The 26,638-nt window shown below is 35.9% G+C and overlaps 1 protein-coding gene across 3 annotated transcripts in view, besides 2 other annotated features; it reads left to right on the top strand.

The window, feature by feature from the left end:
• The window catches only part of NMBR (neuromedin B receptor), a 72,639-nt gene extending 56,228 nt beyond the window's left edge, over window positions 1–16,411 (top strand). For 2 of the 3 annotated variants that reach the window (NM_001324308.2, NM_001324307.2), the window contains 2 exons: window positions 11,992–12,340; window positions 14,846–16,411. In NM_001324308.2, coding sequence (NP_001311237.1) covers window positions 12,014–12,340; window positions 14,846–15,247 — 729 coding nt within the window. In that variant the 5' untranslated portion in view covers window positions 11,992–12,013 and the 3' untranslated portion in view covers window positions 15,248–16,411. Of the gene's footprint in view, window positions 1–1,573; window positions 2,659–11,991; window positions 12,341–14,845 lie in introns of all 3 variants that reach the window. The other variant, NM_002511.4, reaches the window with a different exon arrangement.
• Window positions 1,822–2,373: an enhancer, noted in NCBI's record as "H3K4me1 hESC enhancer chr6:142409659-142410210 (GRCh37/hg19 assembly coordinates)". NCBI's record gives its function as "activates a minimal SCP1, AML or CMV promoter by ChIP-STARR-seq in naive H9 embryonic stem cells {active_cell/tissue: H9 hESC(naive)}" and the evidence as "EXISTENCE:reporter gene assay evidence [ECO:0000049][PMID:30033119]".
• Window positions 2,374–2,927: an enhancer, noted in NCBI's record as "H3K4me1 hESC enhancer chr6:142409105-142409658 (GRCh37/hg19 assembly coordinates)". NCBI's record gives its function as "activates a minimal SCP1, AML or CMV promoter by ChIP-STARR-seq in naive H9 embryonic stem cells {active_cell/tissue: H9 hESC(naive)}" and the evidence as "EXISTENCE:reporter gene assay evidence [ECO:0000049][PMID:30033119]".
• Window positions 16,412–26,638: the final 10,227 nt, after the last annotated feature.

Here is a 26,638-nt window from a genome sequence, read left to right as displayed (position 1 = left end):
AACACACAGACACAAGGAGGAGAATATAAAAATTCATACAGTAATTTCGATTTCAATATATTTTTATATAAAATATGTTAAAATGGCATAGTTGCAGTTTGAATTTTAGACACTTCATAATTAGAAGATTGCTTTAGTAATTTATTCTGTATAGTAATATTGGATGTTAAAAAGAAAACAAATAACTTTGGAGATAAAATTCCTAGAGACATTTCTCAACTTACATGTAATATTAATTTCCTTGCTCTCTTTTCCTCTTTCTCTTGCTCCCTCTCCCTCTATATATGTGTATAATTTTTATAAATATAAATAGAATATTTATATATTCAAATATATTTATACATAAATATTCTATTTAACTAATCTTAATTTTATAATGAATTATTTTAAGTAGTGAAATTCCAGAAGAGTACAATAAGGACTTTTGAGTTAGAAAACATAAAACTTAAAATTGATTACAATGCAAATGTTTACCTTGTCTAATTCAATTATGATGTGACAGTGCTCTTGGTGGGCAATATCTGGAAAAGTTGCTTAATTTATAAGTGACATTGCATATATACACATCTTATCAGTTTATGGCTAGATCATCATAGGTAGTCCTTGGCTAGTTACATTGTTATTATTCAATTGTTCAATTTTATCCTTTAATAACAAAGAACTAGTCAAATGTTTTCCCTAATGAAGAGTGTTATTTAGCTAACTCCAGAACTGAGCCACCATTTCTGATCAGTTTACATTAGACTCAGATGGTGGTGATTTGGGAAACTGTTTTGTGCTTAGGGACAACCTATTTAAAACAGCATATCAGATGTTTATTGAATATATATCTACGAGTGGCATTACTCAATCATAAGCATACATATACTCTGCCTTAATAGATAGAATTAACAAATAAAATTGTCGAGCCAGGTTCCAAAAGAAAAAATAAGTTAGTAATTTATTTTAAAAAATTGTCAGTTTCCAGTAAAGCTGAACATACTCAAGTACTATGACCTGGCAAATCCACACCTGGGATTTATTCAAATGTGCACCTGAACACATGTAAAAGAATGTTCATAGAAACGTTACTCAGGTTGACTAAAATTGTAAGGAACCCAAATGTTAATCAATATAGAATGGATAAACAAACTGTGGTATATTTATAAAATGATGTAGTATACAGTAATGAAAAATGCCACCTGAGAAAAAACATGAGTGGATCTCACAGATATGGTGTCGAGTGAAAGAACCTAGACACAAGAGTGTATGCTGAATGATTCCATTTATACGATGCTCAATAGGAGGCACACTTATTCAATAACAAGCCAAATGGTGGTTATTTTGGGAGATGGTGGCTAGATTGTGGGCTCTGAATGATGGTTAGATTAAGCAGAACGATTAAGAAATGTGTACGTTATACACGTTATAATTCAATAAAATATAAATTTAAAAATAATATGCCAACAATAGGAAATAATTTTCACATTTAAGGTAAGAACAGTAGATGATCAGAAGAAGAGTAGCGAGAGGATTTCATTTATGAGCTTCATTCTTTGGCACTCATTTTTTTCCCCTAAATTCTGTGTTTCAGCATTAGGGACTTGCCAACTCAGCCCTTTAATCCTCAGAGATTCCAAAGTTCTTGCCTGGAGCTCCTCCTGCTTGGAGGCGGGTAAGGATGGATGTATATAGGGGCACACACACATGCATGGAGGACTGACCTCCCCTCCAGTTCCACACAATACAACAGGAACTTCACAAACAAGAGCAAAGCTGTGGGAAAAGCAGGTTGCAGGTGGCCCCGCCTAGTTCCCGGGATTTCAGCTGCGGCCCGCTGGACAGCGCCAGGATGACTTCTGCTTCTCTGGGCGAAGAGTCCGGCAGGTGCTTCTACTGATCCCCAAGGGACAGCTCCTTGTTCCTGAAAGGCTGTTTTCCGCTAGATAACCGCGAGAACAAACCACTGAATACGGAACAAAGACGCAACCGCTTTGCTTTTTTTTTTTTTTTAATTTAAATTCAGAGTTAGCCGGAGCCATTTCCCCCCTCTAGAAGCGGAGCGCCCGAGTGTGTGGACAGACCCCTCCCCAGGTCCTGAACTCTTAGGGACGTGGTGCTGTGAGGCTTGCCCCGCGGACAGTAAACTTGCAGGGGCGAGAGGGAGGGACATCGATTAAACCTAAATCGTGGGCGTTCAGTCCTCAGGGCACCGGAGCGCGTGAAAACTCCAGCGGACTCTGCTGGAAAGGAGATCATGCCCTCTAAGTCTCTTTCCAACCTCTCGGTGACCACCGGCGCGAATGAGAGCGGTTCCGTTCCCGAGGGGTGGGAAAGGGATTTCCTGCCGGCCTCGGACGGGACCACCACGGAGTTGGTGATCCGCTGTGTGATCCCGTCCCTCTACCTGCTCATCATCACCGTGGGCTTGCTGGGCAACATCATGCTGGTGAAGATCTTCATCACCAACAGCGCCATGAGGAGCGTCCCCAACATCTTCATCTCTAACCTGGCGGCCGGGGACTTGCTGCTGCTGCTCACCTGCGTCCCGGTGGACGCCTCGCGCTACTTCTTCGACGAGTGGATGTTTGGCAAGGTGGGCTGCAAACTGATCCCTGTCATCCAGCTCACTTCCGTGGGGGTTTCCGTGTTCACTCTCACTGCCCTCAGCGCCGACAGGTAAGAGCACAGGTAGCTGTGAGTGGCTTGGAAAAGTCGTGGAGAGGGGCGAGTAGAGAAGACTCACCCGGAGTGCACCTACTGGCAGAAGGACGCAAGGAAAGGTTGGGTGTGGAGAGGAAGAGAGGGAGAGAGTGTGTACCTGGGAAGTAGAGTAAACAGAGTTAAAACGGACTGACATGTGAGGCTTGGAAAAATATAAGAAAATTACTATGTTTTAAAAAAAACAATTAAAATTGCATTTAAAATTGCATCTCCTAGTCCCACCTCCGACACTTAGGGAATATTATTTCATAGAAAAGCTATAGAATAAACATGCAAAAGAGCGAGTATCTTGTTGAAGCTTTCTGTGTGTGCTTAAAATCTTATTAGTGTTCTTTCCTTTATGCAGTAGAGTAAGAATCTAATAGGTAAGAATGTCTGCTTAATATTAGGCAAATATTTAATTTTTATTTCTTTCAAGTAAGAGGAGAACTTACTTAAATTTATTAACTGAATTTTACTATTTCTTAGAAGTAAAACCAATTAGATTAATAAATGTTCTTTGGGCAGATGACTTTTCACATTCTTCTTGTTTAATACCTGAAGCTAAGAGACTTTTTTTTTCCACAGATAGGTACCCAAAATACATCTTTGATATTAAATCTGCTTTTGACATATGTTAAGGGTGTGAAGTGTCCATTATTCTATTTTGCACATCAACTAGTTCAACTCTGTCATTTTTCAGATGTGCATATTGAGGCCCAGGGAATGTAATTTCTAATGGAAGACCAGGGAGGAAAATCCAAGTCTCCTGACTCAGGGTCCATTTAAGCAGAAGGGAATGTTTGGATAGGGGTGGGGAAAAATGCAAAATTAGGTACCTTTTCATGGAGCTGTGGTTTAATTCCCTTGGTGGGAATGGAGGACTGACTTAAGCTATTTAGATAAACAATTAACTTGGATAATTAAGGTGGTATGCCCTCTCCTCTTTAATTTACATATTCAATTGCTAATGAAAAATAAGTCTGTATCTGAATTTCCTGGTATTTGCAAGAATACTGGAATACTACTTTGGCATTGAAGAGTTAATCCTGACTGAGGGAAACACAGCATTCAACAGAGACTTGAGAAACTGAAAATGATTCACTTTCTTAAAAACCACACTCCTGGAAACTTAGGTGCCTTTTGTATAAATTATGTACCTAATTTTGTTTATGTGGCAGCATTTCTATTATCTTTTAAAATACTTTCTCTGAATTCCAAAGCAAAAATATGACTAGTTTAGCTGCCCCTCTTTATGCAATCTTATTTTACCTAGAAAGTTTAAAAAACCTACTTAGTGATTAGAATAAAACTTAATGATTAGCAACCACAGTAGTTTAAATTACTATCATTGTGCTTTTATTCTAAAGACATGGCATTGGTAGCAAGACCCAGGGTTGGAGTTTATTTCACACCAGTTTTTACAATCTATTGTCATGGCGACACATGACCATTTACACAGGTAAATTTGCCCTGGCCTAGATCAGAGAAAATAATAATCCTTATATATTTACTGACTTTCTTTGTTTCATTTGTGCATCATATATTCTGTGAATACAGGATGAATACTTTAGTAATAACAATAAGGAAAGGTGAGATGCCTCTTCTACTTGGTCCGTAGGCTACCCTTGTCTACCAGTGTGTGTTTAGGAAATATAAACTAGGAAACCTGAGTAACTGTTGATGAAGTTATGCAATATATTCCATGATTCACTTAAAATGGGTTGGAAATGGTTTGTTATATATTGTCTACACTTCTATTTTTCTTCTAGAGCATAGCAATCAATAGTTGACTAGTACTTGATGACTTCTTACTATATCTCACCAAAAGCTATGATTTCTTGTGGATGTGGAATCAATTGTAGGATTAATTGTGCTTAGCACAGTGCTAACTTTTTTTGTGTAATTTTTCAACCCTCACAATGCTGTTAGATAGGCATTATTTTATTTAAATTAAAAACTTTAAAGCTAAGAAAACAGATTAGAAATTCAGCAACATTTTTATGATCTCACAGCTAGCCACTGATGGTGCCAACATGTTTGAACGCCATTTAAAGTCTGAACTCTTCACCATTAATCCACATTATTACAATTCTTGGTATAAGAAATTACTAATAGTATTTTTTATTTACCAGCAGACTTAAAAGCTGAGTTTAAAACAAAACACCCAAGCATTAAAAAAAAAAAAAAAGAGTACAGGAGCTGATTCATTAGATTTATTACAGTGAAAAAACATCATAAAATGTAACTGCAAAATAAAAGAAGCACCTTGAATTCAATTTTAAGTAGTAGTTGCAGCAATAAAAACTATAATAAACAAATAAAAATTATGTTATTAGAGTCTTTAAACAACAAATTCAATTATTTGTATCATATATCCTGTCTTCACAGATGGCCTAAGTGTCTTTGCCTAACAAGATCTTTGCCTAAGATCTCTTTGCCTATAGAGATCACAGTACATAGAAAAAAACCCAGGAAGATAATTAGATTTCAGAAAGCATATTCCAATGTGAAGTGGAGACTCATATTCTACACTTCATTGATGTCAGCATCATTAGATTGCAGAGACTAAAATGAAAAACACAAATATTTTGAATCCACCTTGAGGCCTAAAACACCTTGTCTGATATGGCCAAAGGGTGGTCAGATGACACTGGTATCTGTGATTATTATTATATTTTATTTTTTTGAGACAGAATCTTGCTCTGTCACTCAGGCTGGAGTGTAGGGGTGCGATCTCGGCTCACTGCAACCTCTGCCTCCCAGGTTCAAGCAAATCTCCTGCCTCAACCTCCTGAGTAGCTGAGATTACAGGCACACGCCACTATGCCTGGCTAATTTTTGTATTTTTAGTAGAGACAGGGTTTCACCATGTTGGCCAGGCTGGTCTCGAACTGCTGACCTCAAGCGATCTGCCCACCTCGGCTTCTCAAAGTGTTGGGATTACAAGTGTGAGCCACTGCTCCTAGCTGGTGTCTGTGATTATTAATCCTCAACTTTCCAAACTCTTCCGAGGAGTTTCAGCAGACACATCCCTAGGCAACAGCTTTTGTGCCCACTGCAGTCATGCCTCAGAGGCACATCATCATAACCAGTATGGCTGGAGGAGAGACAGTGCATGGTATGAAGTGGTGATAGTGGTAGTCTCAATTTTTTATTATTTTTTAAACTGTTATCTTGATAGACAGTTTTGTTACAATTTTGAAAATGTATATTGCTTGCTTGCTTACATAAAGTAGTTGATTAAAAGTATTTCTATATTCTGTCATGTTTCTAACACTTTTATACATACACACATACACACAAACACACACATATTCTCACCTCCCCCCGTGGAGTATTGGGACGTGTGTGCTGTGACATCAGGTTGGTGGCGCCCCATAAGCCATATTTTGCTCCTGGTTGGCGTTATAGTTATCTCTTTCTCTGTATATGAGTAGCTGCGTTTCCAAATTTGGAATGTTATTTCTTTGATTCTTGAAGATCTTTTGGCCTCTGATGGCACATTATTAAAATGCAAATAACTCTTAGGAATGGAGTTTTCCTTTTTCCTTCATAGGAAAAATTCTCACAGATTCCTAGTGCTAAACTGTAAACTTCATAATTTCATGTATTAACAAATATAAAACTAGATATCAATTCTTTATTGTGGCTTCTTATATAACTGTTAACCAAAACGCATTTATAAATTAAATTTAAAAAATAAAACTATAAAAACCATAAAAATAAACTAATATTAGTTTAATGTATTGGGTGATACTTTCTTCTGATACCAAATAGCCAATGTTGGATTAAATGCAAAAATAATGTTGTACCAAATCTGATTAAGTTTCTAATGCATTAATAGTTATTAATACAAAATCCAAGTTTTTGAGTGCTGGTTAGGATAATCAGATTTCATTCCATAACTAGGTCAGTAGACAAAGTCTTGAATCATTAATATTATTTGTATATTACATCAATGCAAACAGATATTTTATTGAGTGTAATTATTTGTTAAGATACTGAAATAGATTGGATACAGGCCCTGGGTCTAACACTCACTAGGCTTCATAGGACTTTTCCATCAGTCTTTGTTCAGTGGTGGGAGGGAGTGCTGTTAACTGTTTGCTGTTTTCTCATCAAAACTCCTGACTGAAGCTCAGGTTCATGTTAGCCAGCTGCCCCTGACTGGAGATGATGCTTTCTTTTTTGCTCCATAGCCCTTGCCTCTCAGTCTGTTAATTGGTAGTGAGATTGGCACCAAGAGTGTGCTTCTCTTTAGAACAATAGTCCACACTTACCCTATAATGCTAGAGTGATGACTTATTTATGTTCAACTTATTTTTGTTCAGCTTTGTATTACTCACGCTGCTATAAAGAACTACCTGAAATTTGGTAACTTATAAAGAAAAGAGGTTTAATTGACTCACAGTTCCACAGGCTGTACAGGAGGCATGGCTGGGGAGGCCTCAGGAGACTTAGAAACATGGCAGAAGGGTGAAGGGGAAGCAAGCATGTCTTCACATGGTGGCAGGAGAGAGAGAGCTAAGGGGGAAGTGCTACACGCTTTCAAACAACCAGATCTCATGAGAACTCACTCACTACCATGAGAACAGGAAGGGGAAATTTGCCCTCATGATCCAGTCACCTCCCATCAGGTCCCTCTCTCAACCACTGGGGATTACAATTCTACATGAGATTTTGTTGGGGATGCAGAGCCAAACCATATCAGACCTGCGACAGGAGAATGTAAGGCAGCTTAAAAATAAGGATACAAACAACACACCACAGGACTAAAAAGGGAGGAAACCAAGGGCAGGGAAAAGAAAAGTTGGAAAATATAAAATGACCCATACTTTCACAAAATGTGAGTCATAGGTTTTTCTGAGAGCTTTCTCGTAGCCTTTTCAAAAAGAAAAATTTGCTTTCCATAACCAATTCTCTGTTATTTTTATATAACCATAGAAACAGAATCAATTGTAGTTTCTGCACATAATTTATTAGTTTTTAATTTGAATTTATGGGGCTTATTGTTAAATAAATGTTATTTGACTCCAATAAATTAGATATCTTTTATTCACTGATCTTGAACACTTCTAGTTTATCTCTTTCTTTTATACTTAGAAGTAATTTCACACATTGAATTAGAAAGGCACTGTATAATTCTCACAAGATTCATAATATTGCCATAATTTATATGTTGCTTATAGCTTTTGAAGATTATTCATCTACCTTGATCTGAAACTTTTGGGACACACTATAAATAAGGAGGGATTGCATCAGGCTTGGGTTTATGGTTTCTGGGTGCTGCTAACCATGTATCCATTACATCCAAATGTTTTTCTTGGAGAAAAAGGATAAAACAGCACAAAACTCATGGCCATAAGGTGGTGCTTTCCTTATTTGCAAAAGAAGAATGATGTCTTCCTCATGATGTGACATATCATAATTAAAGAGCAGGCATCTGATTCTTCAAATGCTGAATTTCTGCTGGATTCTGGATACTATCCATTCTGTTGCTGAATGTGCACCCATTGCACTGCACCTTGCAGGAAGCCTGTGGCAAAGATGCTCACTGCTGCACACAACTCTCTTAAAACATGGTTTCTAAACCCGGCTTATCATCAGAATCACCTGGAAATGTTAGTAATATGCAGAATCCCACATTTCACATTCTAGGGATTCTGCATTAGTAACTCTACAGAGAAGCCTAATCATATTCTCTCTTTTTTTTACTTCTCTATGTGTTTCTGAATATTGATGCGTCTTAGGCATCATTAGATTAGACTCAGTCTCCGTTTGTCATCACCATTCCCACTTCAACATAATACCCAACAACTCCCACCCACTTTACCACAATTGCTCCTAATAAGGATCTCCTTGTTGCTCAGGCTATAGTTTCAACCATTTATTGAGACCCTATAGACTCTACTGGCCAGGCCAGGCATTGTGTTGTGTATTAGAGATATAACAGTGAGCAAGACCTTTCTCTTATCATGCGGTTCACACTCAGACTTTTTGTGGACCTATTCTTTGCCTGAAAAATGAAAGTTTAATAAGAAAAAAAGAAAGAAAGAAATTTTGGGTAGTGTCATTAGAAAGATTAGTGTAGATGGAGATTTTTGAGATGCTATGATGACTCTGTAAGAGGTAAAAAATATCCCATTTTTATTATGTATTTTGTTTTATGATTAAACTTAATTATCTCTTTACATTAAAATTTAAACTACACAGATGTTACAAGCGAGATCCAAAATAAGAATTGATGAAGAAATCTATTTATTTATTGAGGTTTAATACATGAATAGTGATTATTTTTCTCTTTATATGCCTTTTGATCAACATTCTCTAGTATTTAGTTTTCAGTTAGGGATATCCTCCTGAGACCATTTATAAGGGAAAATATACCTTTTTACACATACCTGCTATGCTAATATACACAGTGAAACACTTTTTATACTAAGAGATACTTTTCCCCACATGTCTATAAATATTTGAAGGAAGCATAATAAAACATGTCCACATTAATTTGCACTATCTCATTTTATTTTTTGCTTTTTATCCTTTCAAAGATACACACAGTTGGTATACAACATTTTTCTTCGACAATTGTAAGCTATGTCTCAGCACTAATAACACTTCAGTAATCTGTATTTTCAACTCTAATTCTGTTTTTGTAGGATTTTCAATTCTCCCCTTTTATTCAAATGTGTATCATTCAGAGAATATCATTGGGGTCTATCTTTTCTTGCAGGAGGTGGCTCATAATCCTCCTTGCTGGAAAGGCCAACATTTCTGCTAGGTTTCTTGCTTTCTCTAAACCGAGATTTCTGTATCTGTTTCTAGCAATCTTATCAAAATGAGAGACTTTTTGTTTTAATTTCTATTTAAAGTTTCTCTATATCTTTTATAGTTATAATGCATGCTATGATATAATGTTTATGTTGGCCAAAATTCATATGTTGAAATCCTACTCCCCAAGATGATGGCATTAAGAGGTGGGCCTTTGGGAGGTGATTAGGTCATGAGAGTGGGGCCCACATGAATGGGATTCATACCCTTATAAAAGACTCCAAAGAGACCCTTGACCCTTCCACCATTTGAATAAACAGCAAGAAGATCTATCTATGTAAAAAAGGGGGACTCTCACCAGACACTGAATCTCTCAATGTCTTTATCTTAGATTTCCTAGTCTTCAGAATTGTGACAAATTTATGTTGTTTATAAGCTGCCCAGTATATGGTACTTTATTATAGCAGCTCAAGTAAACTACAACAGTACTTCTACAATAGTATATGTGCTTAGATATGAGGTAGAGAAGTGACATTTTCTTCTCCTTTTTAAATACGTGGAGGAAAGTTCAGAATACCCTTTGTGGTTTTTGATAATCTAAAAAGAAGGCTTGATCTTTTTGTAGTGATAACCTCTCTGCCCTTTCCTTGTCTTCTTCCACAGAAAAAAAATTACAGTCAACTTTTTGGTACTTTGCTCTTAAATATGAATTGTCAGTCAATAATTATGCAAATTTATTGGGAGAGATTACAGCACAAAGAGACCAAACAACCTGGAAAGAGATTAAATTTTTATTTTTGTATTAGTTTTATAGGTACATAGCAAGAGCTGGCTGCAGTAGCTCATACCTATAACCCCAGCACTTTGGGAGGCTGAGGTCGGCAGATCACTTGAGCCCAGGAGGAGTATGAGACCAGCCTGAGCAGCATGGCAAAACCTCCTGTCTACAAAAATACAAAAATTAGCTAGGCTTGGTGGCATACACCTGTAGTCCTAGCTACTTGGGAGGCTAAGGTGGGAGGATTGCTTGAACCTGGGAGGTGGAGATTGCAGTGAGCTGTGATCAGGCAACTGTACTCCAGCCTGGGTGACAGAGTGAGACCCTGTCAAAAAAAAAAAAAAAAAAAGATATAGGGCAAGAATGTGCACATATAACATAGGAATAGGACACTATAAAAAAGAAATAATTTGAAAACATAAAAAACTTATAGGAAACAAAAGATGATAGCAGAAATTTTAAAATTCAGAAAAAAAATGATGGAAAGTAAAGCTAACAGAATATCTTAGAAATTAAAATCAAGAAGAAGGTGGAGATGTGCTTGATAAATGTGATTTTCCAAAATATATCAGAGATGGGGTAATAATTCAGATTTGTCTAACTAAAATCCTGTGATACTGCATCTTATTTGCTAGGTATATTGTCACCTGAAATACTTTAAAGAGAAATATAAAAAATTTGAGGTTTACATACCATTTTGAATTGTTTGCATCATCATTGCCTTACTTAATATGTGTGTTTGAGTTAGCTGTAGAAAGTTTTGGATTGTTTACTGTGTCCTGGAGTGTGATTCCTTTATCACTAGTACACTGCTAGTATATTGCCATTAATATTTTAGGTTGGAGGAGAAAAGAATTTTATGGGATCTTGACATGAAATAAATTTGAGCTATAAAGACAGAATATTGTTCTGCTTTCAAGTTTTTCAGTCCTTATTATTGGATTATGGAGAAAATCCCAATCTAGATGAGTCTTTTATTTATTTTATTTTGTCAAAATGTAGTATGACCAATCTAGATTAGTTTCTAAAATTCATTAATGTCCTTAGAAAAAGAGTGAAGGGGCTCATGCTCAGAAGCTATGGAAAAGTATCAAGGAAGAATTGAATAATATTATTTTGTGAATATCTTATATTTGGTATTCAATACATTATGATAGATGTAACATATATAGATTTAGAAGAATTTAAGAGGTAAACTAATGTCCAGGATTTTGGAAATGAAATGACTAGGATTTAGGAAATGCAAATTTAAAATATTTTTCTCTCTCTTTTTGTTTTCTGTGCTAATAAGTAGTGGAATGACTTGTAGACTGAGAGACACCAGGAACCTTAGGTCTTCCATACACTTTTAAGCAGCCAGGGAATAAATAAATTTGAGCTATAAAGACAGAATATTGTTGGCATCTCTCTTACTAAGCAGAATGTTTTTCTCTTCTCCCTTCTTTCCTTCCTTCCTTCCTTCCCTTTTCTTTTCTCCTTCCCTTTCCTTTCCTTTCCTCTCCTCTCCTCTCTTCTTTTTCTTTCTTTCTTTCTTCTTTCTTTCTTTCTTTCTTTCTCTCTCTCTCTTTCTCTCTTTCTTTCTTTCTCTCTTTCTCTCTCTCTTTCTCTCTTTCTTTCTCTCTTTCTTTCTTTCTCTCTCTCTCCCTTTCTTCCTTTCTCTCTCTCTCCCTTTCTTCCTTTCTTTTTCTTTCTTTCTTTTCTTTCTCTTTTTTCTTTCCTTTCTTTCTGGAATAACTTGAGATGTATCATTTTCCCAGGTACAGAGCCATCGTTAACCCCATGGACATGCAGACGTCAGGGGCATTGCTGCGGACCTGTGTGAAGGCCATGGGTATCTGGGTGGTCTCCGTGTTGCTGGCAGTTCCCGAAGCGGTGTTTTCAGAAGTGGCTCGCATCAGTAGCTTGGATAATAGCAGCTTCACAGCATGTATCCCATACCCTCAAACAGATGAATTACATCCAAAGATTCATTCAGTGCTCATTTTCTTGGTCTATTTCCTCATACCACTTGCTATTATTAGCATTTATTATTATCATATTGCAAAGACCTTAATTAAAAGCGCACACAATCTTCCTGGAGAATACAATGAACATACCAAAAAACAGGTAAGCTTAGTAGGCGTGGGTTGGTGGTGTGTGGTCAGAACAAGTAACTGCTATTTATTGTTTTATTTTGTGGGCTTTTAATCCTATGACTGAGGAGAACAGAGTTGGGCCTTCACAGGCCTTAACTAGAAGGGATATGTGGGGATCTCTAATATATGGTCATATCAGAGCCCTGCAAAGGCCTGCTTAGGTTCAGTTTATCATTTATCTGGATCTGTGATAAGGCCTGACATTCCACCATTAGAAATTAATGTATTGAAAGGCCTGTTTTACATGCAGATTTTTATTTAACAAACAACATAATAAACCAGAAAAATTTCACATATGAGCATACATTAATTTGATTATTGTCTCTTCTCCCATTAACCCACTAAGGATGGCAGGGAGTCTAGAAGAAGGATGCATCAGGAAAGGACTATAGGACACTGCCTGGGATCTTGGGATGGGATTTGGGTGGAAGTCAGAATGAGAGATGAGGGGAATAGCAAGAGCAGCAGAAAAGGAACCCAAAGGTGCAATCCAAAGGTGGGCTGGTGCTGAAGCAGTACGTGACCCAACTCAAATTTGTAACTTTCCCTACAAAGATAATACGCTCATTTAAAAATTACATCATGCACCTTATGTACTTTTTCTTCCTTCAAGAATATGCAGTACTAATTTAAGGTAAAAATCTACTGTGTTAATACACAAAGAGAAATAGTGTTCTTGTGACAAAGAGTTTCTGGTTGTACATTTGTGTACAGCTAGAAAAGAACTTCTAACGGGTTTTGCAGGTACAGAGTAGTTACCGATGCTTGTTTCCAAATTAAAGGCAAAGAAATTGAATCGCAGATCATTTAAAATTTACTAGAACATAGATGGAGCATTAGGCTGGGGCCTTGGGCATGTTAGCAACAGCAGAAACTAGTAAAGTTTTCTTGCATGGAAGGTAACCTTTATGAATTGGTGGCCATCAACATCAAAGATCCACATCGGCTTTAAAGACTTAAAAAATCACCCAATTATTGAAGGCATTGTTAGATTAATTCATAGACTTTCTCTAAATATTTGGCATCAGTGAGGCAATGTGTTCAGATCATTGGCTCACTGTGCTTTCTATTTTATATAATTAGTTCTTTTACTTGAGCCCTGTGACCCAATTTGAGCCCTGTGTATCTCAATTAGGTATTTGAGTATTTGCTTTTGGTTTCTAAAGTTGAGTTTTTCTCATATACAGAGCCCTTGCTTCACTTTTTAAATTTTTATTGGCCTTGGTCTGCCTGCCTTGTTTTTGTGAATTTCCCTATTGGGACCTATAGACTCTGGCAGGGCAACTGGGTCTTGACATCTGCTGAGAAATAATCTCAATGCCAACAGCCTGCCTGTGCACTTGAATCTCCAAGTATAGACTGCTGTGACATTCTTGCACTCATGGTCCACCTGGAAGGCATGACACTGCTTAGAAAGATAAATTTCACATTTGACTTTCTTAGGATTGATTGTTGGGTTGCCTAACTTATGCCACTGGGATCCATGTGGAACATCACATTCTGCTTCCTGGCCTGGGTTCCTCTTCAGTTTTACCTTTCTTCGCTTCCTCCATTACCACTCTATTGCTACCTACCATCAGATATGTTCCAATCCCAAACCTTTCCAGTCTTCTTTGGAATATTCTAGTTGACGACCAGTAGTATTCACTCAGAAAATATTATGATACCTACTACCAATGTCTTTCAATAAATTGGTATTCCATGTCCATGTTGGTTTAATTAAGTATTTAAACAAATTAGACAAATGTAAGGTACCCCTTGAACTACTGATGTTAGGAAATTGTTTTTAGATTAAAAAGTATTGATGTCCAATATTTGAATTTTGCCTATTTATTACACTCTTGAATACCCTCTTAGAAACAGTAAACATAATATGTAAATTTTATGGAGAAGGAAAATTTATTTTTATTTGTGAATGTGACAATATAATAATGTTTACAGGATTCACGGTTATATCAGATGCTTTTGATTTGTGTAAGTCAGGAGTTTAAATTTCAAGTTGCTATTTTGTTTTCCTGTGGAGTGGTAGTTTTAAACAGCAAGCCCTGCTTCATCAGATCAGTTTTTCCTATTTAAAACACCCTGATTTTTTTAAAACACCTAAGCTTGAATATATTCTATGGTTTATTAATTTAGTGGATTTAATACAAACAGAAATGACTTATATTTATGTTACACACAATGAGACATTAAGCAAAAAGAAAATAAATAAATAATATGAAGACAGCATTTAGTAATTTACCACTTAGTTTTGTATAAGCTGTCAAATATTTATTAATGCAAATAATGTAGAGACCAAAATAAGCTTATCAAACTGTTAAAATCCATCATCACTTTGGTGAGGAAAATAAATAATTTATGTATTTTGGATGTATTATCATGCTGTAAATTTTGCTCTTTCCTGACTTGATAAAGTTGGTATGTGGCTGGTTCCATTTTCACTTTAACCAATGGGATCAATTTCTTATATTTGCAGATGGAAACACGGAAACGCCTGGCTAAAATTGTGCTTGTCTTTGTGGGCTGTTTCATCTTCTGTTGGTTTCCAAACCACATCCTTTACATGTATCGGTCTTTCAACTATAATGAGATTGATCCATCTCTAGGCCACATGATTGTCACCTTAGTTGCCCGGGTTCTCAGTTTTGGCAATTCTTGTGTCAACCCATTTGCTCTTTACCTACTCAGTGAAAGCTTCAGGAGGCATTTCAACAGCCAACTCTGCTGTGGGAGGAAGTCCTATCAAGAGAGAGGAACCAGCTACCTACTCAGCTCTTCAGCGGTGCGTATGACATCTCTGAAAAGCAATGCTAAGAACATGGTGACCAATTCTGTTTTACTAAATGGGCACAGCATGAAGCAGGAAATGGCACTGTGATTTTGGCCATTCAACTCACTACCTGGAGAGAACTTAGTAACTGTTAAAATTCCTATTCGGCAGATCAGAACTTGCTGTTGCTTAGCTAATTTATTAGGCAATTGCATGATTGACTCAGAAAATGCAAGACATTTTTTCTCTACACTAGACTTTATTTTTTCTCTTTTCATTTCCTAATAATTAGAATATGAGAAAAGACTTTAAATCACTACATATAATACATATATGTATATATATGTATTTGCACACACACATGTACACACATGTACATTATATATATTTCACATTTAAGATGATCCCCAAACCAATGCAATATGTATAATTTAACATTGCTTTAGTATTTAGGCTGTTGCTAAAGCCAGTTCTAGCATATTTGTCTTAGGTTTTGTTTTATCTTGAAGCATGAAATAAATTTCTATATTGACTCAATGATTCAGTGAGGGTAATATTCAAACTCCTATTATTTGAAATACAAGTCAGATTGTCCTGGTGAATTTCATTCAATTCACAACTATTGCATGAGTGTGTGTGTGTGTGTATATATATATGTATATGTATATATGTACACACACACACGTCCTTCATTTTAAGAAAATAAGAAAAAATTCAAAGGTGGAGCTTAATCAAATTGGTATTTATTGTGATTCTGTGATTAATCATAATTTATAGAAATAATTCATATCTGTAATTCTAAGTATGTGATTAACAGATATAATGAAATTAATATTATGAATTATAAAATAGATATGATATGAATATAATTTATATTATGAATGTAAAATAGGTATCATATGAATATGATTTACATTATGAATGTAAAATAGGTATCATATGTCCCAAATTGCAAAGCTACAACTCACAAGTTTGCATGGCCATCTTAGTATACATTGCTAAATCCTCGAATATTTGGATGATTGTGTATAGATGTGATAAGATTTGTGTAATTCCAGTGAGTTCAACCATTTACTCATCCTCTCTTGCAATACCCAACTGACAAGTATGTGGGATCACACTTAGGCAATTTTTTTCTGCTTTTCCTGCATGATACCACAGTTTTCTCTGAACAAATGTCTTCTTTTTTTAGGAAAATGCAAATGTATTGATTACAGTTTAAAAGCTACCATTTTTAAAAGCATGTATCAATAAATCTAACATTTAAATCAATATATTTCATACTATTTCTTTCTCCAGATTTGAGAAGACTCTATTAGTATACTAAGCTTTTCCTTAAACACCCATAACTCATGCTATTTAAGATGTAACATATTCAATTGTATATAACAATTAGAAGAATAAATACAAACTAAAATATTTGATAATAATAATAATAGTGAACACTAATCATGTATTTTCTATGTTATAGGCATAGTCCTAAAGCTTTACATTTACTATCTAATTTAATCATCAATATAATCACTGAGGTGAACAAGAGAAGGATCTAATTTGGCAAGGTATGAAGTTATGCGATTGTGGGTAAGGCATCTTTATTTGAAAGAGTACACGATTTTGAAAACTTTGCAGAAACAACAGATCATGTGAACACATTGTTAGAACCCTGAACTTAGGCTTTATTAATTTCATTGTAAATTTACCTCTGAAGAAGGTCTGTTATTATCTCTATAGATTAGGAAATTGAGGCTCAGAGATATTAACTAACTTAAAAATATCGAGCTTTTCTTTTTGGAGATCCAGTCAACACTTAATAGCTCTGTTAACAAACTAAGCAGGTAGAGGATTATCTGTGAAAATTATTATTATTTTTTTAAATTTTAGATTCAGAGGGTACATGTGTAGGCTTGTTACATCAGTATACTGCATAATGCTGGGTTTGGGCTCATAATGATCTCATCACCCAAGTAGTGAACATAGTACCCAACAGGTAGTTTTTCAACTCTTGTCCACCCCCTTCCCCACTGTTGGAGTCCCCAGTGTCTGTTTTTCCCATGGTTGTGTTCATGTGGACCCAATGTTGAGTTCCCACTTGTAAGTGAGAACATGAATTATTTTTCTGTTTCTACATTAATTTGCTTAAGATAATGGCCCCAGCTGCATCCATGTTGCTACAAAAGGATGTTATTTCATTCTTTCTTCATGGCTGTGTAGTATTCCATGGTGTATATGTACCACAATGTCATTAGTCCACCATAGATGGGTACCTGGGTTGATTCTATGTCTTTGTTATTGTGAACATTGTTGTGATAAACATATGATTGCAGGTATCTTTTTGTTAGAACAATTTAGTTTCCTTTAGCTATATCCCTAGTAATGAGATTGCAGTGTCAAGTGGCAATTTTATTTTCAGTTCTTTGGGAAATCTGTAAACTGCTTTCCATAGTGGCTGAACTAATTTGCATTCCCAACAATAGTCTATAAGCGTTCCCTTTCTCTGCAACCTCTCTGACATGTTGTGTTCTGACTTTTTAAATAATAGCCGTTCTGACTGGTGTGAGATGGTATCTCATTACGGTTTTGATTTGCCTCTCTCTGATGATTAGTGATGTTGAACATTTGCTCGTGTTTGTTGGTTACCTGTATGTCTTTTTTTGAGAAATGTCTGTTCATGTCTTTGCCCACTTTTTTAATGGGGTTGTTTTCTTCTTATTGATTTGTTTAAGTTCCTTATAGATTCTGCATATTAGTTGTATTAGTCTGTTTTCACACTGTTGATAAAGATATATCTGAGACTGGACGATTTACAAAAGAAAGAGGTTTAATGGACTTACAATTCCAGGTAGCTGGGGAGGCCTCACAATCACATGTAAAGTGAAAGACACATCTCACATGGTGGCAGACAAGAAGAGAACTTGTGCAGGGAAATTCCCCCTTATAAAACCAACAGATCTCATGAGACTTATTCACTATCATGAGAATAGCATGGGAAAGACCTGCCCTCACGATTCAATTACTTCCCACCAGGTCCCTCCCACAGCACGTGGGAATTCAAGATGAGATTTCAGTGGGGACACAGCCAAACCATATCATTCTGCCCCAGCCCCTCCCAAATCTCATGTCCTCACATTTCAAAACCAATCATGCCTTCCCAACAGTCCCCCAAAGTCTTAACTCATTTCAGCATTAACTCAAAAGTCCACAGTCCAAAGTCTCATCTGAGACAAGGCGAGTGCCTTCTGCTTATGAGCCTGTAAAATTAAAAGTAAGTTAGTTACTTCCTAGATACAATGGGGATCAGGCATTGGGTAAATATAGCTATTCCAGATGGGAGAAATTGACCAAAACAAAGTGGTGGGCTACAGGCCCCATGCAAGTCCAAAATCCAGCAGAGCAGTCAAAACTTAAAGCTCCAAAATGATCTCTTTTGACTCCATGTCTCCCATCCAGGTCATGCCGATACCAGAGGTGTGCTTACACAGCCTTGGGCAGCTCTGCGTCTGTGGCTTTGCGAGTATAGCCCTCTACTGGCTGCTTTCATGGGCTGGTGTTAAGTATCTGTGGCTTTTCCAGGTGCATGTTGCAAGCTATTTGTAGATCTACCATTCTGGAGTCTGGAGGATGGTGGCCCTCTTCTCACAGCTCCACTAGGTGGTGCTCCAGTAGGGATTCTGTGTGGGGCTCTGACCCCACATTTCCTTTCTGCACTGCCCTAGCAGAAGTACTCCATGAGGGTCTCACCCCTCCAGCAAACTTTTGCCTGAGCATCCAGGCATATCCATACATCATCTGAAGTCTAGGTGGAGGTTCCCAAACCTCAATTCTTGACTTCTGTGCACCCACAGGCTCAACACCAAAGCCAAGGCTTTAGGCTCCCACCCTCTGAAGCAACAGCCTGAGCTGTACCTTGGCCCCTTTTAGTCATGGCTGGAGCATCTAGGATGCAGGGCACCAAGTCCCTAGACTGTACACAGCAGAGGGACCCTGGGCCTGGCCCACAAAACCATTTTTTCCACCTAAGCCTCTGGTCTGTCGTGGGAAGGGCTGCCTCAGAAGTCTCTGACATGCCCTGGGGACATTTTGCCCACTGTCTTAGTGACTAACATTCGGCACCTTGTTACCTATGCAAATTTCTGCTGCCAAATTGAATTTCTCCTCAGAAAATGGGATTATCTGTTCTATCACATTGTCAGGCTGCAAATTTTCCCAACTTTTATGCTCTGTTACCTTTTTAAAACTGAGTGCCTTTAACAGCACCCAAGTCACCTCTTGAATGCTTTGCTGCTTAGAAATTTCTTCCACTAGACACCCTAAATCATCTCTCTCAAGTTCAAAGTTCCACAAATCTCTAGGGCAGGGGCAAAATGCCACCAGTCTCTTTGCTAAAACATAACAAAAGTCATCTTTGCTCCAGTTCCCAACTAGTTCCTCATCTCCATCTGAGACCACCTCAGCCTGGATTTCATTGTCCATATATATCATTATCAGCATTTTTGTCAAAGCCATTCAACAAGTCTCTAGGGAGTTCCAAACTTTCCCACATTTTCCTGTTTTCTTCTGAGCCCTCCAAATTGTTCCAACCTCTGCCTATTACCCAGTTCCAAAGTTGCTTCCACATTTTCAGGTATCTTTTCAGCACTACCCCACTCTACTGGTACCAATTTACTGTATTAATCCATTTTTACAATGCTGATAAAGACATACTCAAGACTGGGCAATTTACAAAAGAAAGAGGTTTAATGGACTTATAATTCTACCTGGCTGGTGAGCCCTCACAATCATGTGGAAGGTGAAAGGCATGTCTCAAATGGTGGCAGACAAGAGAAGAGAGCATGTGCAGGGAAACTCCCCCTTATGAAACCATCAGATGTTATGAGACTTATTCACTACCATGTGAACAGTATGGGAAAGACCTGCCCCCATGATTCAATTTCCTCTCACCTGGTACCTCCCACAATACATGGGACTTCTAGATGAGATTTGGGTGGGGCACAGCCAAACCATATCATTAGTCATTTTGTGTGCAAATTATCACATACCCACACACACACAGTATGATATTTGGTTCATATTAAAATTAGATTTTAAACTTCTGCATTTGTTGAATTTTTCATATATTTAATTTGTATACACTTGTTTTACACTTTTATATTTATAAATATTTATATTTGTTTCTGGGTATTTGAAGATTTCATTGTTCTTATTATCAAATGATAATATTAAGGCTGGACATGGTGGCTCATGCCTGTAATCCCAGCACTTTGGGAGGCTGAGGCAGGCAGATCGCGAGGTCAGGAGATTGAGACCATCCTGGCCAACATGGTGAAACCTGGTCTCTACAAATTTACAAAAAAAAAAAATTAGCCCAGCATGGTGGTGCACACCTATAGTCCCAGCTACTTAGGAGGCTGATGTAGGGGAATCGCTTGAACCTGGGAGGTGGAGGTTGCAGTGAGCCGAGATCGCACCACTGCACTCCAGCCTGGCGACAGAGCGAGACTCTGTCTCAAAACTAATAATAATAATATTATTATTAAAAGAAATAAATCTCAACATTTATTTATGAAATCACACTACAGAAATGAATCAAACTGATGATGCCTATTAGTCAGAAGTAGAACAAAAATGCCAAATATCAGATCTGTTAAAATAAACATACATAAATTGAAATAGCCTTTTGAAAAATGTAATTAATTTATTGATTTTTGTAACTCAATCTAGTAATATCTTAATCCAAGAAAATATTTCAGAAAAAATGTCTAACGTGGTAATATCTGCCATAACAGAGAAATATCCACAAAATATTATTTTTAATGTATATGCAAGATATATATGCCCTTTTATGTGAATCTCCTCTTTAAACCAGGAGTTGTTAAAAAAATACAAAAAAAAGTAACCTTGGAATACTTTGAATCAGGAACCGATACCTGTCAATCATGGCATTTGTAAAATGGATTAATAACATTGTAGAATTAAATTATGCAACACATGTAAGGTACTTACCCAAAGCCTGAAGTAAGTGTTCAGTGAAGATAGCATTTATCATTATATTTTAAAGTTATTGTTCTCATGTAACAAAGTAATAATAAACATTGATTAAACATGTCCTATGTGGCAGACCTGTGCCATATTATTTTATAGGGATGCATCATAATAGCTTATAAGGCAGAAGCTATTCTGGTTCCCATCCTATATTTGAGGCAGATAAGGATGGAAGAACTTGCTATTGAACTTTTATCTGTTTGACTTTAAATTCATATATTTTATCTACAGTCAATACTCCCAGGAGTCTGGAATTCAAGTAATTCATTAAAAGACAGGAGTATGCATGTCAACATTTTCCTCACTGAAATGCACAGGTTACCTGACAGTGGAGGACAAAAAGGAATGGTTCTCTCAGTTTGCCTTTGTCTTTCCTAGGGAAAGATAGCAGCTTAAATTCTAGGTCATGTGAATACCTGTATAAAAATAAATTTCATATATAAAAGGTGGGAGCATAATTTTTGCTCCTAAATTTCTTTCTCCCTTTTGTGCATGCTATATTAAAAAAGGAGGAAGATAATAAAAATTAATGGAACTTTTTAGATATTGAAACATATTTCATTTGACTATTTGCTTGTTAGAACAAGTTTTAAATGTTTATATCATCCTATACAGCTTTAAAATCATTAATGAGTTTTAAATAAGTATAATATTTCCATTTATGAATATTTTTTACTGGCTTCATTGCTCACTCAGAAAATATTTACACTAAGTTTCTGAGAAATGAAATATTTCAACAATTAGGCCTCTCTTAAGAAAGAGTAAGCATGTGTATTTCAACTTTGAGTAAAATAATATATATATAAGTACGTTTTTCTTAGACTTTTTCAAAACAAGTGGGAAAGGCGTGAGCAAATAGATCAGCTTCCGTGCAGAAAGTCATTTTTGTAAAGCTATAACAGAATAAAAAGAAGAGAGCAAAAGATTGTCTTGTTATAACTGCATCTTTAAATGATCATTAGAGAAAACATTACTTATACATTGCATTTTATAACATTTCATTTTCTAAATTATTTTGCCAAGTTATTCCAAGTGCTCCATTTTTTCCCATATGTTGTATCTTACTGCAATTTCAAACAGGACATATTCTTACATACAGAGCCAAGTTTTAATCTGTGGTGGGCAATTTGTGTTGGAAGTGGTATACAGCAAAACTTAACCAGGATTTCATTTCTGGGAACTAACTCTCCTTTTGGGCAAGAAAGAGATTATAATTACTCATTATTCTTCATGGTGGATGAATAATGTAAATTTAACCCACTTAGGAACCTAAAACATATTTTACAAAATATTTAATGATACTTAACAGAACTATTTGAAAGGGGAAATTCATAACCATTTGAGGTATCTTGGTGTTGTAGATAATCAAATCTGAAAAAACAAGTATGAGAATCTTCAAATTGTTTTTTTTCATATGCTGATAAAATTTAATTGAGAAACATGGGTATCTTAAAACTTTTAGTTTTCTGCTGGGTGTTAGAAATCTATCTATTTGCATCTCGTGTGTGGTATTCTCCTGGATTCTTCAAGCTAAAAAGTGTAAGAAAGTTCTCAGCAGTATAATCCATCTTATACCATTTGGAATATGTTTATTTATGTGCATGAATTAAAAGGAAGACTATATAATCATGGTCCTATGAGAGTAAAGAAGCAGGAGAAAAAAACCCACAAGTCATTTTAATATGACCTTGTTGCCTCCGTTAGACTTTCTTATCCTCGTAAGTTCATGTTTTTCGACGGGTAAAGATTCTCCTTTGCAAAGCAGAAAGAGCCTGGTCAAACAGCCATATGGCATTAGGTATATAAATAACCAAATGCAATGACAAATTGAATTTAGTGTGCATGTCTAACTTATTTTAAAGGCAGATTTATCCAAATAGCAAATTACTAATAGCAGTGTTATTATTTCTGCTAATGTGTTTAATCAAATACATCTCTTGGAATTAAGAAAGGCCATATAAAAGTGCACACTGGAATGTAGGTGTGCTTGATCTGCCTGCCTTAGTTTTGTATTTCAGCCTAAGCTATAATAAGCTGTCTAGAGTATTTAAAAATTAGAACTTGTTTTTCTTCTTTGGCAGTTTGCCTAGAAGCATATTAATAAAATGTAGTACTGTTTGAATAGAATGGTTTGACATAACTCATTGCACAGGACAAGAGAATACATTTTATCCCAAGAGAATTTATTATTAGAGAATGAATTCAAGAAATAGAAAACAGAGATAAATGTTTGAACACTTTAAATGATTTTTATTCACTTTACATTGAACTCAGTTTTAGTATACTACATTGGCTTCTTTTTAATTAATAAAATATTACTTAATAAAATCAGCGTGGAAAGCAACACACTAGAGGCCAAAAATCACAAAATTCTGGAGGCAAGTTCTACAGTACTCTTAGAGCACCATTTTGGTGTCAAGTAGAAAAGCTTCTATTTAAATTATCTCATAATTACATCCTTTCCATTTACTAACACAAAGTAATTATATAATTTTTTTTAGTCTAAGCTAGAATCCCACTAAATATTTGTGAGGAATATTTTATTTCACCTGTGCAATGATTCAAAATACCAAATCAGCAATAAAGTCACAGATGACCCAATTTTACTACCCTCAAGCCCACCTTTTTCTTTTTTAGCTTCAAATAAAGAACAATTTTCGCCATATATGACAGACTCACAGCTAGTATTATACTGAATGAAGAAAAATGAAAACCCTTCTCTTAGATTTGGAACACTACAAGGATGCCCATTTTCACCACTGTTATTCAGTATAGTACTGTAAGCCCTAGCTAGAGAAATCAGAAAAGAGAAAGAAAGAGAGAAAGAAAGAAAGAAAGAAAGAAAGGAAGGAAGGAAGGAAGGAAGGAAGGAAGGAAGGAAGAAAGAAAGAAAGAAAGAAAGAAAGAAAGAAAGAAAGAAAGAAAGAAAGAAAGAAAGAAAAAAAGAAAGAAAGAAAGAAAGAAAGAAATCCCCAAATTGGAAGGGAAGAAGTCGAATTATCCTTGTTTACAGATGATGATCTTATATTTGGATAAACCTAAAGACACCACCAAAAAACTATGAGAACTGATGAACAAATTCAGTTAATTTGCAGGATACAAAATCAACATACAAAAATCAGTAGCATTTCTGTATACCAGTAATGAACTAGCAGAGAAAGAAATCAGGAAAGTAATTCCATTTACAATAGCTACAGTTATAATAGAATACCTAGAAATTAACAAAATAAATGACCTCTACAATGAAAACTATAAAACATTGATGAAATTGAAGAGAACACACACACAAAATGGAAAGATATTCCACATTCATAGATTGAAAGAATCAATATTATCAAAATGTTCAACTTAACCAAAGCAATCTATACATTCAATGCAATCCCTATCAAAATACCAATGACATTATTCACAGAAACAGAAAAAAATCCTAAAATTTATATGGAACCACAATAGCCAAAGCTGTCCTGTGTAGAAAAAACAAAACTGGAAGAATCACATCACCTGGCTTCAAATTGTACTACAGAGCTATAGAAACCGAAACAGCATGGTACTTCCATAAAAACAGACACTTAGCCTAATGGAACAGAATACAGAACCCAGAATTCATACATCTATAGTGAGTTCATTTTTGACAAAGGTGCCAAGAACATACATTGGGGAAAAGATAGTCTCTTCAATAAATGGTGATGGGAAAACTGAATATCCATATGCAGAAGAATGAAACTAGACTCTCACCACATATAAAAATCAAATATCTCTTACTATATATAAAAATCAAATAAAAATGGATTACAGACTTAAATGTAAGACCTCAAACTATGGAACTACTATAAGAAAACATTGGGGAAACTCTAGGACATTGGAGTGGGCAAAGATTTCTTGAGTAATACCCCACAAGCACAAGCAACCAAAGCAAAAATGGAAAAAGTATCACATCAAGTTAAAAAGCTTCTGCACAGCAAAGGATACAATGCACAAAGTGAAGAGGCAACCCACAGAATGGGAGAAAATATTTGCAAACTACTCATCTGACAAGGTATTAATAAGCAGAATATATATAAGGAGTTCAAACAACTCCAGAGGAAAAAAAATTAGAAATCTGATTAAAAATGAGCAAAATATATGAATACACATTTCTCAAATGAAGACATACAAATGGCAAACAGGCATATGAAAAGGTGCTCAACATCAATGATCATCAGAGAAATGTAAATCAAAACTGTAACAAGGTATCATCTCACTCCAGTTAAAATGGCTTATATCCAAAAGACAGGCAAATGCCGGCAAGAATGTGGAGAAAGGGAACCCTGGTACACTATTGGTGGGAATGTAAATTAGCACAACTAGTATGGAAAACAGTTTGGAGGGTCCTCAAAAAACTAAAACTGGAGCTACTATATGATCCAGCAATCCCACTTCTTGGTATATACCCTAAAGAAAGGCAATCAGTGTGTTGAAGAGATACCTGCTCTGTCATGTTTATTGCAGCACTGTTCACAATAGCTAAGATTTGGAAGCAACCTAAGTGTCCATCGACAGATGAAATGGATAAACAAAATGTGGTACATGTACACAATGGAGTACTATTCAGCCTTACAAAAGAATGAGATTCTGTCATTTCTAACAACATGGGTGGAACTGGAGGTCATTATGTTACATGAAATAAGCCAGGCACAGAAAGACAAACTTCACATGTTCTTAATTATCTGTGGGAGCTAAAAGTTAAAATATTTGAACTCATGGAGTTAGAGAGTAGAATGTTGGTTACCAGAGACTGGGAAGGGTAGCAGAAGGGGAGGGGGAAGTGAGGATGATTAATAGGTACAAAATAAAATTAGAATGAAAGGGATCTGTTATTTGATAGCATTACAGGGTGACTACAGTAAATGATAACTTGTTGTACATTTAAAAATGGCTAAAAGAGTATAATCGGATTGTTTGCAAAACAAAGAAAGGATAAATGCTTGAGGTGATAGACACCCCATATAACCTGATGTGATTATTAAACATTGTATGATTATATCATACTATCTCATGTATCCCATAAATGTATACTCCTAATATGTACCCACAAAAACTAAAAATAAAAATAGAATAATTTTCTTTTATTAGAAAACAAGTTTTCAAATTTACAAAGTCAGGTGTATTTCGATTCAGTGACATACCATCCTATCGTAGAATTATTTAGAGCATTAATATTATCGTCTCAACTATATTCTGCCAATTAGATTTCTAAAGTACGCATGAGAACAGTTTGCCAGACTTGAGCCTTTGGTTCTAAAATGGTAGCTCTTCCTTTATTGTATGTTTTTCAAGTTGATAGTGGTAGATGAATGCCAACTGAAGTATGTATGAGGGAAAACAATACCATAAATAATAACCAAACCCATGTTGTGATTGTTACAATTTTTAAAACTAACATGATTTTAATTTTTTCTGTTTTTAATTAATATTCATTCC

Source organism: Homo sapiens, chromosome 6 (assembly GCF_000001405.40).
Source record: "Homo sapiens chromosome 6, GRCh38.p14 Primary Assembly".
Taxonomy (NCBI): domain Eukaryota; kingdom Metazoa; phylum Chordata; class Mammalia; order Primates; family Hominidae; genus Homo; species Homo sapiens.
This window is presented reverse-complemented; position numbering and strand designations above follow the sequence as displayed.